Genomic DNA, 17,712 nt, shown 5'->3' on the forward strand with positions numbered 1-17,712 from the left:
AAATTAGCCAGGTGTGGTGGCACACCTGTAATCCCAGCTGCTCGGGAGGCTGAGGCAGGAGAATCGCTTGAACCTGGGACGTGGAGGTTACAGTAAGCCGAGATTGCGCCACTGCACTCCAGCCTGGATGACAGAGTGAGACCTTGTCTCAAAAATAATAATTAATAATAATAATCTATGAATTCCCACTGATATACATACATATATAAACAAACGAATAATTAAATGGGAATAAAGGAAAATGGTCTCGCAGTCGATGCTAGCTAATAAATGTAGAAGGAATAACGGAATTAGAACGTCACCATTTAGAAACTGTCATTATGATTGTTACAGGCAAAGAGTCATTAATGGATGCTGGAACCAGTGGGTGAAATTGTGAGTAATAATAGGATAGTTACATAGTTTCAAAGCATCTTCCCACATGAGACTTAGAGGGGAAAAATGCAGTCAATTTACAGTGGGGAAACCTTACCCAAGGGATCAAAATTAACATCATGAGCAGTGAGACACACAGACGCTGTGGGCCTCCTGATGTAACGCAGCATGAAACATGCCGCCACCTCCATGGGCTCCCGCTATAATTCTCTGCTGGATCCCAAGGAGAGGTAACAGCAGACGCGCCCAAACCTGGGAGCCTTCTACAGAAAAGCAGTCTCCTTCCTAAGTGTCAATGATGTTGTCGAGGCAGAGGGAGCAGGCTAAAGAGACGCGGCAGCGGACTACAACACACAGGCTGGGGTTTCCTTGAGCTCCTGAAGGACATGATAGGAATAACTAGAAAAACCTGACGAAGATCTAGGACTCAGACCAGCATGCTGTATGCATGGTAGTTTCCTGACTGTGATCATATTACACTGTGGTTCTGGTAAGGTGTTTTCAGCAAATATACATCAAAGTATTTAGGGATAAAAGCACAACATACCTGCAAAAGGTTCTGAAAAAAATCCTACACAAAGACATACAGACGTAGAGAGAAAGGGGCACGGGGGAGAGTACACACGCAGGGCTGTGCAAGAGACAGCAAGCATGCGGAATGTTGGTCTTTGGTGGATATGGGTGAAGGGCGCACAGGCATCCTTCGTGCTATCCTTGCAACTTTTCGGTAACTCTGAAATTATCTCAAAACAAAAGTTAAAATAAAAGGATCTTGGAAAAAGTATAGATTGCAACTCTATTGGCTGGCTCACGGCATTGCAACTCTATTGGCTGGCTCACAGCACTGCAACTCTATTGGCTGGCTCACGGCACTGCAACTCTACTGGCTGGCTCACGGCACTGCAACTCTATTGGCTGGCTCACGGCACTGCAACTCTATTGGCTGGCTCACGGCACTGCAACTCTATTGGCTGGCTCACGGCACTGCAACTCTACTGGCTGGCTCACGGCATTGCAACCCTATTGGCTGGCTCACGGCATTGCAACTCTATTGGCTGGCTCACAGCACTGCAACTCTATTGGCTGGCTCACGGCACTGCAACCCTATTGGCTGGCTCACAGCACTGCAACTCTATTGGCTGGCTCACAGCATTGCAACCCTATTGGCTGGCTCACGGCATTGCAACTCTATTGGCTGGCTCACGGCATTTCACCACTGATGAGGTCAGGCTTCTTGCTTACATTGGAAGGCTGTAGATGTTTATGTGTCACTTGTAAGTGAAGTCACTTTTCAGCTGTAAAAATAGTTGTACACGAAGTGATACTGGGTAAATTTCCAATTCTTGCTGTCGTGTCATTCAGGAAACTGCGTCTACTCACTTCAGCTCTCTCAAGGAATAAGCACCTTCCTCAGTGGTCCAAGCGTTTGTGAAGGTATGAAATGCTACCACTTTCTCTCCAGGACTCGGGGCACACAGCTACTGTGCCCCCAGCAATGGCAGGGCAGGTGACTTCTTCACCAAACAGCTCCTGACTTCCACCCACCCCCACCGCACCCCGAGCTTCTCTGTCTGGGCACTTGCCCAGCATCTCCCTCTTCATTCCTGTATCTTACCCGTGCCAATTCATGCCTCCTTCTCCTTGCAACCCTTCTCAGATCTGCTGTCAGAGCTCTCATGGGAGACCCGCATTGTTACATCAAGAGTACAGTTTCTTTATTTAAGTTTTCAGCTTTTTTCCACCGCCATCCACCCTCCAGTTTTCAGCCTACATAAATGTTTACAAGGTACACTGACTCTAGCTCAGCATTCGTGTTTTACGGTGGGTAAAGAAGCTGAGAGAGAACAAAAGCTTTGGCCGTGGTCAGGGTCTGCACAGAGCTGAGACTGGAACCCAGCTGTCCCAAGCCCATCTGAGCCCAGCCCTCTCTGTTAGATCACACTGCTGCAAAACCAGCCACGGGGGCAGCAATGCGTGCTTCTGACCTTCCCTTACGTCCTGAGCCCTGCAGGAAAAAGACAGTGTTCATCTATTTTTCATCCCCACCAAAAAAAAAAGCAGCCTCTATGAAAACAGTCCCTGCAATGAACTCCTATGTATGAAATTCAAGATCTTCAGAAAGACTGCCTGACTGGGCAGCCGTGGCTTAGGTCGCAGCCCCAGGCACTCTCTCCTCTGCCGATGAGTGTCACTGTGCACGCATGTAGAGCCGGCTCCCACACCAGGTGAGTTTCTGCCACACACCGGCCACCCAGCACGCCTCACATGAACTGGTTTCTATCGATTCTACAGCACAAGGTGCGTGACATGGATGCGACCATCTGGCGTGTGAATGCACAGATCTGTCTGTGTGTGTATGTTTGCATCTTGGTCATAATAACACTAAGTGGGGGAAAAGACTCAGAAATAAAGGGAAAAATCACAGGAAAAAAAGGTCTAAAACTGGGTAGAAAACATCAACAGAATGTTTTCTATGATGAAAAATTAAAAACTTTCAATAATGAAAGTTTTGAGTATGTAGCTATGAGTTTTAACTGTCTTTTCTGCTTTCATGAGTAAGAAATTCTAGTGAAGCAGCCAAATAAATAACAAAGCGTGCACCAAGCCCAGGGCTCCGAAACAGCAAAGGCGCTCTTTCAGTGTCTGTGTCATGTGGCTCACTGGCCGCCGTCTATAAGGCATTCAGATGGCCCCAAAAAGTCTTCCATCTGTAAAGAAGTCCAGAACATTCCAAAGGAAACATTTACCACCATTTCAAAGAGCTCCTGGGGGAAAGAGCTTTCCTGGAAATTTTAAAACAAGTTATTTTCCAGGTGCTTTAGAAAAGCAATGTACTCTATGGGATTGTGTATTTAATTTCCCTGCAACCAGGCATAAAGAGGAACTCAGACAAGGAGGCAAGTCAATCTGATGTGTACAAATGGGTAGAAAGTGGTGCTGGGGTGCCGTCATTGTCGTATCTCCCAGAAAAAAAACTGAGGCAAGAAGTAAAGCAAAGACTCATGGACTGGGCAGTGAGAGAAAAGAGGGTGGGCCCAAAAGAGGTACTGTCAGCGAGATGGGAGGAATTTTGATAGAGGAGTCAGCATTCGCCTTTTGAAAGGAAGATCACCGCGTGTGTCCCTCTGTGGAGTACAGCCCCTGGGAAATATCCTACCTCCAATACTGCAACCTCCTGGCCGTTGCGCAGCAGCCGGAACGTCAGAGGATGTTTAGAATCCAAACCCGGGATCACCTCGCAGCCACGGAGCGGAATAGACACAATATGGGTCTTCAGGTCGGTCCTGTCCTTGTGGAAAATGAGCTTGTTATCTTTCACTCGGCACCAGCGCTCTCGCCAGCGGCTGTTGGAGAGCACGTTCAGATAGCCTGCGGAGACACAAGGCCACAGGTCAGCCGCCTCGGACAAGACCAGGCGAGGTGAAGACGTCTAGGGTCACACTGAGGAGGCCCAGGGATGGGAGTGTGGATAAAACAAATCCTTCACACGATCGATCAAGCTTTAAATGCAAATTCGCATAAACTAGGAGAGCCGTGGCTACGGCATCACAAGTTTTGGGGGCTTTTCATGACACCACACAGGCCGTATCTGGAAGCCCCTCATTTAACATGTGCAACGAACCAGTTACCAGATGCCTGGTGTTGATGTGGGACTATGGAATTCACCTAAAGCACGTGAGAAGTTAGCAAGCCATCAGGTTTCGGATGGCCAGGATGGGGGCACGACAGCTGCCTTCAAACTGGAAACCGATTTCACTTATTTTGAGGAGCTGCAAATGATACAAGTAGAGTAAGAGTCACAGGCAGGCAGATTTTGGCTTAACATGAAGAAACAAAAACTATCTAAAAATGAAAACTTTCCAAGAAATAGGAGGCCCTGGGAGGCACTAAGATCCCCAGCGCTGGAAGCAGCCCGCAGATGGCAGAGGCCCTGAGTGCAGGTTCCCACCTGAGGCTGAGGACGCACCTGCCGCCTTCCTGCTCCTCAAACTGCAAAGCGACGGGTGAAGCTGCCCGGAGGAAATCTAAACTCTAAAGTCTGAATCTTCATGAAAGTTTGTGATCCGTGTCTCTGGTATGGCACAACATCTTCAGTATATCACAGATAGAGGAGTGGTAGAATGACAGGAAAAATTATTATCCTCATTTAAAAAAAAAAACCTCCTCAAATACAGGAAATGGACACTTTTCACTTGTTACAAACATAAAATGAATTCTTCTAGAAATAACAAGACATGAAAAAATAGATACCAGGGTGGCTGTACCTTCCAACCACACCATAATGCTAGTAAATTACTGCCCCCTTCCTTTAAGATTTAGAAAGCGAGATAAATAGCATAGAAAATGTTGATAGTGGCAGAAAAGGAAGTACCAGATTCCTAACTCAAGTTCAGCTACTCCTTCAATTCACACATGCACACACACACATACCCCTGCCTCAAAAATGTCACACATACCCCTACCTCAAAAATGTTAAGAAACAAAACAAAATACATCCTTTCCAATTCTGATTTTTCAGATTCCTTTTCCAGCCAATAGTAGTCCCAGCTACTTGGGAGGCCGGGGCAGGAAGGTCACCTGAGGTTAGGAGTTCAAGATCAGCCTGAGCAACACAGTGAGACCCTATCACAAAAAAAAAAAAAAAAAAAAAAAAAAAACTAATCAATTAAAATGCCTTTCCAAAAGGGTTTTGGAGGATGTTTCTTACTGCTTTTATGTTCTCAATCTTACACACCTTATTAGCAATTGATAAATGCTATAAAGACAAAAAAAGAGAGGTATGTTCAGGACCCAGAATGATGCTTTATTACTTATAACTATTGGTTCAGTGACTTACTAGGTACACACTTATAAAGTCTAAATTTTCATTGGCTGAATATGATGTCATTTCTACCAACACACACTGAAGAGAAATGCACACTGCTTCTTCTGGAACTAAAACTTTCATCTGGGGTGTGGGCTGATGTTGTTAGGGAGTGACAGAGAAAGGAGGAGCCAGGCTGAGGCTCCAAGGCCTGTGCCGTGGCCGCCCTCTTGTGTTCAGAGAGCAAACTACACTCGATCCAAGCTCCTTGTATTTCAGACACTTAGGAGGGCTGCAGGGAGGTGAAGAGGCCCTAGAATTAAAGTAGGAAAGAGTCTCAGAGGCTTTACTTCTTGAAGGAGGACGTTAACTCCCAGATAATGTGAAGTATCTTGTCCAAGACCACACAGCAAAGCAAGACCTGAACCCCTGTTGGGAGTTAAAGACGGCAGATAAAGAGCTGTTAATATGAATACAACTGGGGCCTTACATTACTATTTTTGTTCTGCAAAATGCTATTTGTAAATGATGTAGTTCCAATACATTTATTCTTTTTTTTTTTTTTTTTTTGAGACAGGAGTCTTGCTCTGTAGCCCAGGCTGGCAGGCTGGAGTGCAGTGGCGTGATCTCAGCTCACTGCAAGCTCTGCCTCCCGGGTTCACGCCATTCTCCCGCCTCAGCCTCCCAAGCAGCTGGGACTACAGGCGCCCGCCACCACACCTGGCTAATTTTTTGTATTTTTAGTAGAGAAGGGGTTTCACTGTGTTAGCCAGGAAGGTCTCGATCTCCTGACCTTGTGATCCACCCGCCTCGGCCTCCCAAAGTGCTGGAATTATAGGCCAATACATTTAGTCTTTAAAAAGAAAAAAGAAACCTCTACTTAAAAAGAGAATCAACTATCATATCTGAGCACCCGAGTAACAGCGCTGGGAACCACGTGCTCGCCATGGCTCTGACACCATCTAGAGTAACCACTCATGCTGAAAGCCGACACTTTTACATTTTTAGACTTCCATACAATGACAGCCAACTGTATCAATCCTAAGTATGTTTTGAGCATGAGTTGACAAATGTAATGGTGTATCTGAAAGGAAGAGGAAGGCAAGGAGTCCCCTCAAATAACTTCACATACTGAGGTGCATTAAGATAACATGCCCAAAAATGGCTTCTGAAAAGGAGCAGTAAGCTACAGGGCAAGGAAAACAGCCCGTGCTCTGGAGTGGTCAGGGCCCAGGCAACCCTTCACGAGGCCGTGATAAGGAGCAGAAGAAACCAAGAATTGAAATGCCAGTGACCTCAATGACAGAGACCACACAGTGCAGCAGGGCAGCAGTTCCCAACCACAGAGGACCCAGTCCCGATCCCCAAAACCACAGGGGACCCAGTCCCCAAGAGGGCAATTCCTAGCCACAGGGGGACCGGCCCTGATCCCCAACCACAGGGGACCCGGCCCCGATCCCCAACCACAGAGGACCCAGTCCCCAAGAGGGCATGGACTCTGCAGTGGGGCGGCAATTCCCAACCACAGGGGGTCCAGTCCTGATCCCCAGCCACAGGAGACCTGGCCCCGATTCCCAACCACAGGGGACCTGGTCCCGAAAAGGGACATGGACTCTCATGGTGTCTTCTTCCCTGACAGAATCTGGCCAAGGCCACCAGATACTATGAATTTCTTGACATTTCAGCTGTAAAAGGGATGATTATATTGGACAGATCCACATTTTATTTAGAACATGATTTTATATGCAATTATCGTAATACCCCCAATTTTCCCCCCAAAAAAATCCCCTGGGATAACAGACCTGTTCACAACAGCAGGTAAATCCACAGTCACCTGTCTGTTTTCAGCGACTGCCCCTACCCCATCCAGCCCCCTGCCACCATTTCTCAAAATGGGGAGGCCCAAAGTTCCTATTTTCTGGCTGGGGAACATGAAGAGGCCACGAAGGAAATGGCAGACAACCTCATCTAAGGAGTCTAGAGTCAGGGGGTCCTCTGGACCCCCCAATATTCTCCCAATCTGACACCTCTAGCCTGGCTGATGAAATCAGTGCTGACCCGGACCCCAAGTCATGTCCAGGAAAGGTTACGCTGGAGCAACATCCACCACCAGGTGGTGCCAGAGTGCAGCCAGGACGGGGCCAACTTGGCTCCTGGATCAAGAACTGCAGGCGGGAGCTTCAAGGCTCACCCAGGGCGTCTCAAGATTTAACCACTTAACAAGGCAGGTCCAGATAGAACTGATTTTATTTTTGAATCTCACTTATCATATTATGGTAGGGTGTTACTGAATTTTAAAAATTTCTGAGTTTAATGTTTTCTGCTAATTTCTGCTCCAAATTCAAAATAAAGAGTGCAGTTTCTTGCAACAACACTGTGGCAAGAGGATCATGCTAGAAATAGAAAACTAACTTTACAGCTCGAAGATTAAACAAACAAAAAATACAGATGGAGGGGAACAGATATAAACCCTCCCGGTCAGCTGGTCCGGATATGGGGCGTCGCGGGTCTCAGTGCCGGGTGGCTCTCGAATTCCGGCAGCTGCAGAAGAGCAGGCAGGCAGAGCCTTTTAGAAGAGTGGCCACGTTTCCATGTATTTATTCTCTTTAGGAAGGGAAATGATAGTGCCTGCCCACCCCAGAGGCTACTGTGCTTTGGTTACATGTGGCCAAAACGTTCAACACTTTTGAGAGACGTTTTATCCCAATGTAACTGTTCATTATATCTTAGCAAGTATTTGTTTCTGATCAGCTAGGAGGAGAGGGGCCTGCAAGAGGGGCATCAAGAAGCAGCTTTCGGAGAAACCAAATGTCAGGAAACTGCTGGCAGCTGATCACAGGCCTGCCGAAGCCAAACGCCTCCTTCCCACTCTTCGCAGTGTGTCCTCGACGAGGCCAGGGGCAGAGGAGCTGGTACACTAACAGCCTGTCATGGTGGCTCCTGGACTAAGAATGCCTTCCTGCCCTTTCATCAGACTGCATCTGATTTCTTTTTTTGAGGTGGGGCCTTGCTATGTTGCTGAGGCTGGTCTTAAACTCCTGGCATCAAGCGGTCCTCTCCCCTTGGCCTCCCGAGTCGTGGGGATTCCAGCTGCATGCTACAGTGCCTGGCTTCGTCTACTTTTCGTGGAGGTGGATTATGATACCAAATGAGACGTATCTAGCTTTCCTGAATATCTACTAAAAAATCCTGCCATTGAAAGAGCTTCATAAAGTGACAGAACATTTCAGCTGGAAGGGACCCTGGGAATGGCTACCCAGGCTCCATGAAGCCTCCGACTTGCCCCCTGGGGCCTTTCCTTTCTCTCAGTCTCTCCGTTTCTCATGATTTACTTGTCTGACGTTGCATTTACTGTGCCTTGGATAGGTCTGGTATGCTTAGGTGATGTTTTTAAAAAACATGTCGGATGAATACATGGATAATCACAGTGACCAGGTACTGAGCATAAATGATGGGCTAGGCACTGAGCTCAGTGTTTCATGTATTTTATCCTCAGTTTTTATGAAAACAAAGGAATTGAAGTATTGAGCCATTTCCTAGATGGAGGAGCCTGACATCCAGAGGTGAAGCAATTTGCTTAAAGGAATGCATGGCATTCAACAAGTATTTACTGAGCTGGTATCGTCTGCCAAGCTCTGCACGGTGCTGTGGACACAGGCAGTGAGCCAATGAGCCCCTGTTCTTACGCCAGTCATGTAGAAGGCGGAAAAGTGAAGCGGGGACAGCAGTGTTAGAGGCCCTGAACTGGCAACAAAGGAGGCACTTTTGGTTTTTCTCAATGCAGAATGTGATACGGTTAGTCTAACGTTTCAAAACTTCCATCTGGTGGCCTGGGGAGGGGGAAGCAGAGTAGAATGAGGTGAGCCAGTCAAAAGGTGCCACAGTCCCAGCCACAGGCGGAAATAGGGATGGGGAAGAGAGAAAAAGGTGGAAACGCATTTCCTGGTAACAACGGCTTAATTCATACGGTGACAATAATTCCAGGACTTGTAAGCCCAGGAGAAGGGCAAATAAGAGATAAATTTTGGTCAGGGGCCTTTGCGCATGTCTCAGATCATATTATCTACGCGGCTGTGTGCTGAGCTGACCTGCCCAATGCTAAATGCGTCAGTCAACGTCACTCAATAGGCGTTGCAGGGTTAGGCGGGCGGACCTGGCCAGCCAGGCTGCAATCCTCGCCACATTAATATGAAAGGCAATTGAGAGACTTTGGCCCAAACCCCCCTAAACCTTTCCAGCCGGCAAGCACCTGCAGAGAGCCTTCCCTCCCCTGCCCCCACAAACAAGGCCCTCACAGCAGCTCTGTCCTGCATTTAGGGGAACGGCTGACCCAGCTGCACTGTGTGGAAGGGCTGGCATTTGAACTCCGCTTTCAGTGGCTCCTGGGAGCTCTGTCCTATGGGCTCAGCAGCACTGCACTTCCGGCCAGTCCAGCTCGGCCCTTCATCTCCCTGGAACAGAGAGCAGCAGCTGCGGAGACTCAACTTGGCAGGCTCAGTCTCAAGGGCCTTTGTCCAGCTCCTTTTTTCTGCCTGAAACTTTGCAGCTGTACTAAAATAACTGAAAATGGTCACTGTTGCCCCTTTATTTTTCTAAAAGCCCCTCCCCTCTCCCCTTTCCCCTGCAAGGAATTAGATGACAGCTTTAAAATCTTGTGGACAGAGGATGTTCTGTTAATATTGAGGCAAAAGCTGTCCACTAAGCAGTTTGATAGGAATCCATGTGTCTAATTAGATGCTGTGGATTCAGTATTCCTGCTCCCTGAGCGACCAACTGTGCTTCCAAGAAAGTGCCCAAGAAGAGGGTTTACCGCAGTGTCTAGTCACCAGCACAAATGCAGCTATTTATCAGGAGCCACGGGAGTGTTCAGATCTTTCGGGGGAAGGGATAAGGGGAAGGCCTGTGGGACAGGGAACCAGCACAGTTGGGTCAGAGGCTGTCTCTGTTCTCAGCTCGCTGTGTGGCTCCGAGCAAGCCATACAAGCTCTCTGAGCTTCAGTGCTCTCCTTTGTAAATGGACGGGTTTGGGCCAAAGTCTCTCAATTGCCTTTCATATTAATGTTTAATTGTTTTTCAAGGAAGAATTTCTATTTCCTCCACTGACCTGGAGCATTAAAAAACAAAAACAAAAGAGTAGTTTCCTTCTTGTTGGCTAATTCCTGCTTTCTGTTTTTAATCCATAACTCCTGTATTGAATCCCTAATTCCCGCTTTCTATTGTTAATCGATAACTCTCAAGGGCTGATGTGAGGCAGTCCCACCTTCCATGCGCTCCAAGAAAGGCAGAGGTCAGCGGGCCCAGCACTGGGGCACCAACACATTCACCCTCCCCATTCCGTGCTACAGCTGTTTCCTCTGACAGCACTTCGGCAGGGTGGCCGCCCTTTCAGCTCTAGCCTTATTTAGGGAGGGAAGGGAGGGTAGTGGAAAAACATCAGTACCAACTGGCCTGCTTCTGTGACTCAACTGCCATTTGACCAAGTTCAGGGAGCTTGGAACGCACCAGGCTCCTCGGTTACCCTTATGGTGATAGCCTTCCCTCCTAACTCAACCCCACAGGCAGCTGTTTCAACAGGACCCCTCTGCAAGACTCCTTCAACCACATGACGCCTTCACTGCTGTCTGCCCAGACAACTTCATTGTGTCCACCAGAAGTCAGTATGACGCAACTTCCCAGATCACACTGTGAAAGCTGCCGAGGAGCTGAGACTTTGCCTGTCCTCCCTTCAAGACAGTGCACGCCATAGTGCCTGCTGGGTCCTCGCATCTGCCCCTGCAATCCATCCCTCCTCCTGACCACCATGGCCCATCCTCTGTATTATCCTTGTGGCATGAGCCCACACCGCTGGGACGTGAGATCTGTTGAATACATTTATCTTTGTGTGTATAGCCCCATTTAGGCGCTGTGGGGCAGGAACTAAATGAGGTATCTTTTGGCATCTCAAAATAAAACCCAACACCTTGGATATAACGGGTGCTCAATAAGGGGTGGGGGCAACTAGAATGACTATTCAAATAGAAGGAATGATGGGCTCACACTGCAGGGAGCTGAGTGAGCCGCAATAGTACACAAGGAAAATGACAGCACATTCCTATAATTTCTCGAAAACGTAGCTCATCAAGTTTTCCTCCTAGGAAGAGCTGCACGGTTCTTCTGAACTTGATTGCCTAGAAGGCATTCCGGATGGAAACTCTCACCCATGTCTTCATGGAGACCACCCCACAATGCTGGATCCCCCCGGCCCACTGAGGTTCCTATGATCCTCTCACGGCCTCTTGGGTTTTCCCTCCTATCGCCAACCAGAGCCAATTATTACATACATGTTTCTGTGGTAACTGGGCTTGTACTTATCTTTTGCTACCAGACTGGAAGCCATGGGGGGCCAGGGCTGTTGTGGTCACCAAAAGGTAGCTGCTCAAAGATGACCAAAAGGTAGCTGCTCAAAGATGACTTACTGGATGAAAGACTGACCGGGGAGATGGTCTGTGTGTTAGACTGGATTTGAAACTTCGGTTTGAGAAATTGGTTCGGTCATTGGTATAGTTTGGATATTTCTCCCCTCCAAATCTCATGTTGAAATGTGATCCCCAGTGTGGGGGGCTGGCCTGGTGGGAGGTGCTTGGGTCATGGGAGCAGATCTCTTATAAATGGCTTGCTGCCTTCCCTGTAGTAATGAGGGAGTTCTCACACCTGTGGTTCCTGCGAGATCTGATGGTTTAAAGGACCCTGGCACCTGCTCCTCTTTCTCCTGCCATGTGACACACACCAGCTCCCCCTCTGCCCTTGCCACGAGTAAAAGCTTCCTGAGGCCTCATCACAAGCTGCGCAGATGCTGGCACCATACTTGTATAGCCTGCAGAACCATAAGCCAGATAAACCTCTCTCTTTATGAATTACCCAGCCTCAGGCATTCCTTTGGCAGCAACAGGAAAGTGACTAACAGTGACGTGATAAGGAAGCTTAGTTTTGTTTTTGTTTTTTTTTTTTATACTTTAAGTTTTAGGGTACATGTGCACAATGCGCAGGTTAGTTACATATGTATACATGTGCCATGCTGGCGTGCTGCACCCATTAACTCATCATTTAGCATTAGGTATATCTCCTAATGCTATCCCTCCCCACTCCCCCCACCCCACTTAGTTTTATCACTTTGCCCAAGGGAAAGAACTGGCCTTAGTTCTGTAAAGGTTTTCCCATAATCCTTTCTTTACCAGCAGCCCCTGCGTATGTTGTCCTTTAAAAACACTTCCAAGGGATTTGGGGGAACTTCAGAGGATTAAAGGGAAATTTTTTTTTTTCCTTGAAAGAACCTTAGAGATCATCTAAAAGGCCTGCAAAGTCTTGTATGAATAAGAGGCAAAAATGTAAACATTTAATACATTTCCCACTATCTGAATGATTCCAAGTCCAATGCAAAAGAGCTCAAATTAACGAGCCTTGGATGAACTGGGTACCGACACCACTGCAGGAGAAAATGAAACCCACTTAGGTGCACGCTGCTCGTCTCCGGGAAGCGCAGTCTTACCGCAGGTGGGAACATCTTCCTCAGCTGAGGAGGTCTGCTCGTCTGTGGACGGCTTTTTCTTTCCCAGACTGATGATCTTGGTGATTTTTTTCCCAGTGACTTTCGACACAGTGCCCTTGGCCTCTGATTTGGAACTTTTCTTCCTCTTCACTGTCAAGAGTAACAACAGCAAAAAAGCATGTTTTAATTGTAGATATTAATTGAAAAAAAAAACATACATCAAAACCCATTTCTTCTTTCCCTTGGCATTTTTTTCTTTTATTAAAGACAGGGTCTCACTCTGTCCCCTGGCTGGAGTGCAGTGTTGTGATCACAGCTCAATGCAGCCTTGAACTCCTGGGCACAACTGATCCTCCCACCTTGGCCTCCGGAGTAGCTGGGACCACAGGTGCGTGTCACTACGTAGGCCTGGTTAATTTTTGTACTTTTTGTAGAAATGGGGTTTCCCCATGTTGCCCAGGCTGGTCTCAAACTCCTGGACTCAAGTGATCCACCCACCTTGGCCTCCCAAAGTGCTGGGATTACAGGTGTGAGCCACCGTGCCCGGCCTTTCCCTCAACTTTTACTTAATGAGCACTTGCTACGTGCTGGCTGTTGGTCTAGATGCTGGGATTTCAGCACAACACAGGGCTGCTGGTAGGAAGCTTGTAACAAGGACCACATGGAGATCTAAGATAGGGTTATGTGGAAGAGCAGCCGGGCGGTCAGAGAAAGCCTGTCCAGGAGTTGACTTAAGTTAATAATTAGCCATGCACATCTCAGGGAGAAAACCGTCCAGGTAAGAAAAACATCACTGACGCAAAAGCTGTGAGGCTGAAAGCAGCCCCAAGTGTCTGAGGAACAGAAGGCAGCTAGTGCAGCTCTGGCCTGGCTGGCAAGGGGAGGCCCAGGAAAGGAAGGGGAATTGACTCTTCCTCAGGAGCCCCTCGGCCATCTGTGAGACACCTGACTCGGCCCTATGCAGAGCTCTCAGACCAGGGGCCTGCCTTCCAGCCCCTCATATTCGGTTTAGCCAGGACAGTGTTAAATTGGAGTTAATTTTTGAAACATAGAACTCATACACATTGTGCATAAAAATGATGCCTGGCTTCCTTTGAAAGATGGAAGTCTAGCAACTCTGGACCCGCATGTGGGCAAGCAACAGCGGCAGGACCACAGAAGCAGTCTCCATGCAGACGGGCCGGTGAGGGACAACACGGGGCGGTTCTCATCACTCCCCATCATCTCCCACGATGGAGGCCCAGAGTCAGCTGCCAGCTGGCATCCTATGTCTGCCCCATCCCGTCACTGGCACCTCTCTCCACTGCCGAGGGCTCTGTCCGTGACCTCCGGCGGAATTGCAGGGGCAGGGATCAGGCAAGAAATCAGAACGTGCGTGTGAGACAGCACCAGAACCGAGTGACAAGATCCTTTGGGCCAGAGAGCGACCCTCGGAGAAGGTGAGCTGTCTGCCCGTCTCATCTCCTGAGGGCCGTTATGTGCCCAGCACTGGAGCTGAGGGGAGGCCGGCGAGGCGCTCGGGACACAGCTGCACTGCAGGGCTCACTGGAGCTGAGGGGACAGAGAGATTCTCAGTGTCGTGGGCAAACCCCAGCGCCCGACCCTTTCCCCTTCATCTCCAGCATGAATCCCTCAACCCGCTGGCTGCGGAGATCACAGACACTTCAGAAGGTGATGAGAGTCAAGGACTCCCTCCCACCCCCACCGCAGGAACAAATGAACCCACACACATCCCACGGAAGAACTGCAGAGGAAGAGCGGCCAGGGACACAAGACGACGCGCCCTGGCCTAACTCCTAAACCCTTCCTCTGCACACGCACACACTCACACGCAGTCCCCTTATCCTTCCCAATCTCCGCCTCTCTCTGCTGGGGAGCGGGAAGTGGTCCTCTTTCTGCCTCCACCCTGGTGCCCCCACCACAGCCAAACACGCTAGGGCGGCAGAACATACCCCTGGTGTCTCCTGCCTCGGGCCTTGCCCTCCCACACTCCACCCTCCCGCTTAGGTCCTGGTCCTATAGCGTTAGTGCCCTTCTAAGAAGAGACGGCACAGGCACAGAAGAAAGGCCGTGTGAAGGCGCGGGAGGGGAGCCGCCTTGGAGGAAGACAGCCCTCGCTAGACACCAACCCTGGCGGCACCCGGGTCTTGGACTTCCAGCCTCCAGGGCCGTCTAAATGCATGTTGTTTCAGCCACGCAGTCTGTGGTATTCTGTTATGGCAGCCCAAGCTGACTAACGCAACACAGTCCCAGCATTTCTGTGTGACTTTAAACAAATCAGACTTAGGCCTCCTGTGATATTAGAAACAAAGAACCCAGGAATGCCACCCCCACCCCTCCTTCCACTCTCCCAACACGTACACACCCTCTTTTAAAATAAAGCGCCGAGACTGGCTTTCGATCCCTAAGTCTGAAGGCACAGCCCCTCCCAGCTACCATCAGACAGGGAGCGGCGGCTAGGACAGCTGTATCACTTCAATGTTACTTCAACCAAACCAAGAGGGACAGCAACAGCGGACGGCCCCTCCCAGCTGTTTCTGAAGACCCAGAGGAGGATGTTTCACCACAGCCGCATTCCCGTGAGCTTTACAAAGAATAACCTGTTGGCCAGGACAGCCCGAGTGCCCGGGGCACCCTCAGAAAGGCTGGTGGAGCAAGAGGTATCCCCCACAGATAATGTGGCCCCCCCCAGAAAATGCAGCTCATCGCGGTGAGCTGGGGTGTCAGATGAACGCCCAACTTGACCGACAAAGTGCTTGCTCGACTCTGACTGCAAAGAAATGAGATCATAATTAAAACTTGGAATTCCTTGAATACTCCCTGATCAGTTTTTTACAAAGGCAGACATATGGTAATCCTGGGGCGAAAAAATCCAAGTATATGGGAACATGAGGAGAAAACCATCGAGAACAACTTGATGCTATGTATCAAACAAAAGGCAGAGATGAGCACAGATCACAGAACCAGGAAGAAAAACTCAACACTCAGAACGCTCAGCCCCCTGCAGCTAGAGGGTAGAAAAGCTGGAGTATCCAGGCACACGCTGGCCCATGAGGTGGGCAGGCACTGGCGCACGCCACTGGAGCAAGACTAACGCCGGGCATTCTCTAAAACCATGAGTATCATAAACCCAGAGAGTTTCCCAGTAACCGACGGAAACGGGAATTCAGGTGCTTTTTAGTATTATTATTTAGGCTACTGGGAGGAATAGGGGCATGAGAAATTAATACTGTCAGACTATTTATTCAATGACTTTTACCAACAGACACATTCACAAATGATCACATCTTACAGATGTGAAGTGGGGCTGAGGAGCCTCACAGCCCCCAAACAGAAGGTCCCAGGACCTTCTCAGCCCACACTCCTCACACCTGCTGCAGGATCAACCATACTGTGTCGGTTTATTAGACAGGAGGGATTCCGCCTTGAGAGAAGAAACAGGAGTTCCAGAGTCGTTCCCTGTGGCTTTGACCGCATGGAGCCTGGACTGTCTCTTTCTTCATCTGAGATTCTAACACTAAGAAAAAGCTGTATGAGTTCAGGATTTTCTCTATGCAGCCCGCAGAGAAATGTGTCTGAGTTACCACATGGCTGGGATAAAAGGAGCTTAACTCAAATCTCTCAGGTGCAAACTGGTCAAGAGTGAGAGGCAAGGATAAAAGCTAAGAGAGAAGGTTAGAATGTACTTCAACCTTAACTTTCTCCAGTAACTAACGAGCGTCTGCTACATGCAAAGCACCATGCCAGACAAAAAGAAAATGTGTAAACCAAGGTCACCACCGTTTAATTCCAAAGCATAGAAGGTTGTTCTTGTTAAGAGGAAACAGGAGAATTTTAAATACAGATATATTTGCTTACAAGTGCATCCAGACACACATATTATTCTGTAGAACCTAATAGATGCACTGGGAGAAGAAACAGCAAACCAGAAAATGAACCAACCAAACCAACGTCTGCTGTGCCTCAACTTCTAAGCAGGAACATTGAGATTGTATGTTATTTTATTTCAGGGCAAAACTTAAAGATAGCTTTCCTGGTTTTGATTACACATAATGTGTGCCCTGTGGAAGACACAGATAATACTTTCCACTGAATAACTTCCGATGGACAGAACCAAAATTGCACTCAGATAGGACAGACTTAGAAAACCACATATGAAAAAAGTGGGTATCGTGACCTCTGAGAGTGAACTCTGTAATGTCATAACAGTCCAGATTCTTTGAGCTCCAAGATTCTTAGTGGGCTGGATTGCTACTTGGTTTAAGGTGATTTCACCACAGAGACAGGAAACACTTGGCTCCCTCCAGGAGTGGGCAGGTGGATTTGGGTGGTTGGATTACTCAGCTGAGCAGCCAAGGTCACAGGTTCAATGAGCAAACAGGCTGTCTGGTTTTGCAGTGGGAACTCTCCCTCCACAGCCACAAGTCCTGCCCTTCACCTCCGTCCACATACTGCTAAGGAAAATTAAAAGTCCAGCCACAGATTGGGAGACTATACATCCAAAACACATCTGATAAAGGACTTGTATTCAGAAAAGACAAAGAACTCTCAAAACTCAATAAGCACAAATAATCCAATAAAAATATGAGCAAAATATCTGGAGACATTTCACCAAAGAAGATATACTGATGGCACATAAACATATTTAAAAATGTTCAACATTGTTAGTTATTAGGGAAATGCAAATTAAAACACAATCACATACCACTACACCCCTATTAAAATGGCTCAAATAGAAAGAACAAAACAAAAGTGACAATACTGAGGCTGGAGAGAAGCCTATGACCAAGCAATCCACTCCTAGGTATTTACCCGAGGGAAATGAAAACATATGTCCACGCAAAAACCTGTCTCTGAATGCACAGAACAGATTTTTCAACCGTCGCTCCAAAGTGGAAACAGCTCAAATGTTCTTCAAGAGGTGAATGGGCTGACTACGGTCCATCCACACAGTGGAATGCCTCCAGCAGCAGCAAAGAACCAACTAGTGACACTAGCCACAAACACG

At 48.2% G+C, this 17,712-nt stretch overlaps 1 protein-coding gene and 1 long non-coding RNA gene across 10 annotated transcripts in view, besides 6 other annotated features; one reads left to right on the forward strand and one right to left on the reverse strand.

The window, feature by feature from the left end:
- Positions 1-17,712, reverse strand: part of AFAP1 (actin filament associated protein 1) — a 181,149-nt gene that overhangs the window by 38,197 nt on the left and 125,240 nt on the right. For all 9 annotated transcript variants that reach the window (NM_001371091.1, XM_006713909.4, XM_047416061.1 and 6 more), the window contains 2 exons: positions 12,705-12,854; positions 3,533-3,744 (listed from right to left, as the gene is read on the reverse strand). In NM_001371091.1, the coding sequence (NP_001358020.1) occupies positions 3,533-3,744; positions 12,705-12,854 (362 nt within the window). The remainder of the gene's footprint in view (positions 1-3,532; positions 3,745-12,704; positions 12,855-17,712) is intronic.
- On the forward strand, positions 1,618-11,144 carry LOC124900656 (uncharacterized). Its single transcript, XR_007058010.1, has 2 exons — positions 1,618-1,809; positions 10,738-11,144. It is a non-coding gene; the product is annotated as an uncharacterized LOC124900656 (long non-coding RNA).
- Positions 7,377-7,946: an enhancer, noted in NCBI's record as "H3K27ac-H3K4me1 hESC enhancer chr4:7806013-7806582 (GRCh37/hg19 assembly coordinates)". NCBI's record gives its function as "activates a minimal SCP1, AML or CMV promoter by ChIP-STARR-seq in naive and primed H9 embryonic stem cells {active_cell/tissue: H9 hESC(naive and primed)}" and the evidence as "EXISTENCE:reporter gene assay evidence [ECO:0000049][PMID:30033119]".
- Positions 7,947-8,515: an enhancer, noted in NCBI's record as "H3K27ac-H3K4me1 hESC enhancer chr4:7806583-7807151 (GRCh37/hg19 assembly coordinates)". NCBI's record gives its function as "activates a minimal SCP1, AML or CMV promoter by ChIP-STARR-seq in primed H9 embryonic stem cells {active_cell/tissue: H9 hESC(primed)}" and the evidence as "EXISTENCE:reporter gene assay evidence [ECO:0000049][PMID:30033119]".
- Positions 9,213-9,507: a silencer, noted in NCBI's record as "tiled region #8435; K562 Repressive non-DNase unmatched - State 21:Repr". NCBI's record gives its function as "represses a minimal TATA promoter and a strong SV40 promoter by Sharpr-MPRA in K562 cells {active_cell/tissue: K562}" and the evidence as "EXISTENCE:reporter gene assay evidence [ECO:0000049][PMID:27701403]".
- Positions 9,213-9,972: a biological region, named in NCBI's record as "Sharpr-MPRA regulatory region 8435".
- Positions 9,264-9,972: an enhancer, noted in NCBI's record as "H3K27ac-H3K4me1 hESC enhancer chr4:7807900-7808608 (GRCh37/hg19 assembly coordinates)". NCBI's record gives its function as "activates a minimal SCP1, AML or CMV promoter by ChIP-STARR-seq in primed H9 embryonic stem cells {active_cell/tissue: H9 hESC(primed)}" and the evidence as "EXISTENCE:reporter gene assay evidence [ECO:0000049][PMID:30033119]".
- Positions 10,981-11,481: an enhancer, noted in NCBI's record as "H3K27ac hESC enhancer chr4:7809617-7810117 (GRCh37/hg19 assembly coordinates)". NCBI's record gives its function as "activates a minimal SCP1, AML or CMV promoter by ChIP-STARR-seq in primed H9 embryonic stem cells {active_cell/tissue: H9 hESC(primed)}" and the evidence as "EXISTENCE:reporter gene assay evidence [ECO:0000049][PMID:30033119]".

This window comes from Homo sapiens, chromosome 4 (assembly GCF_000001405.40).
Source record: "Homo sapiens chromosome 4, GRCh38.p14 Primary Assembly".
NCBI classification, from domain to species: domain Eukaryota; kingdom Metazoa; phylum Chordata; class Mammalia; order Primates; family Hominidae; genus Homo; species Homo sapiens.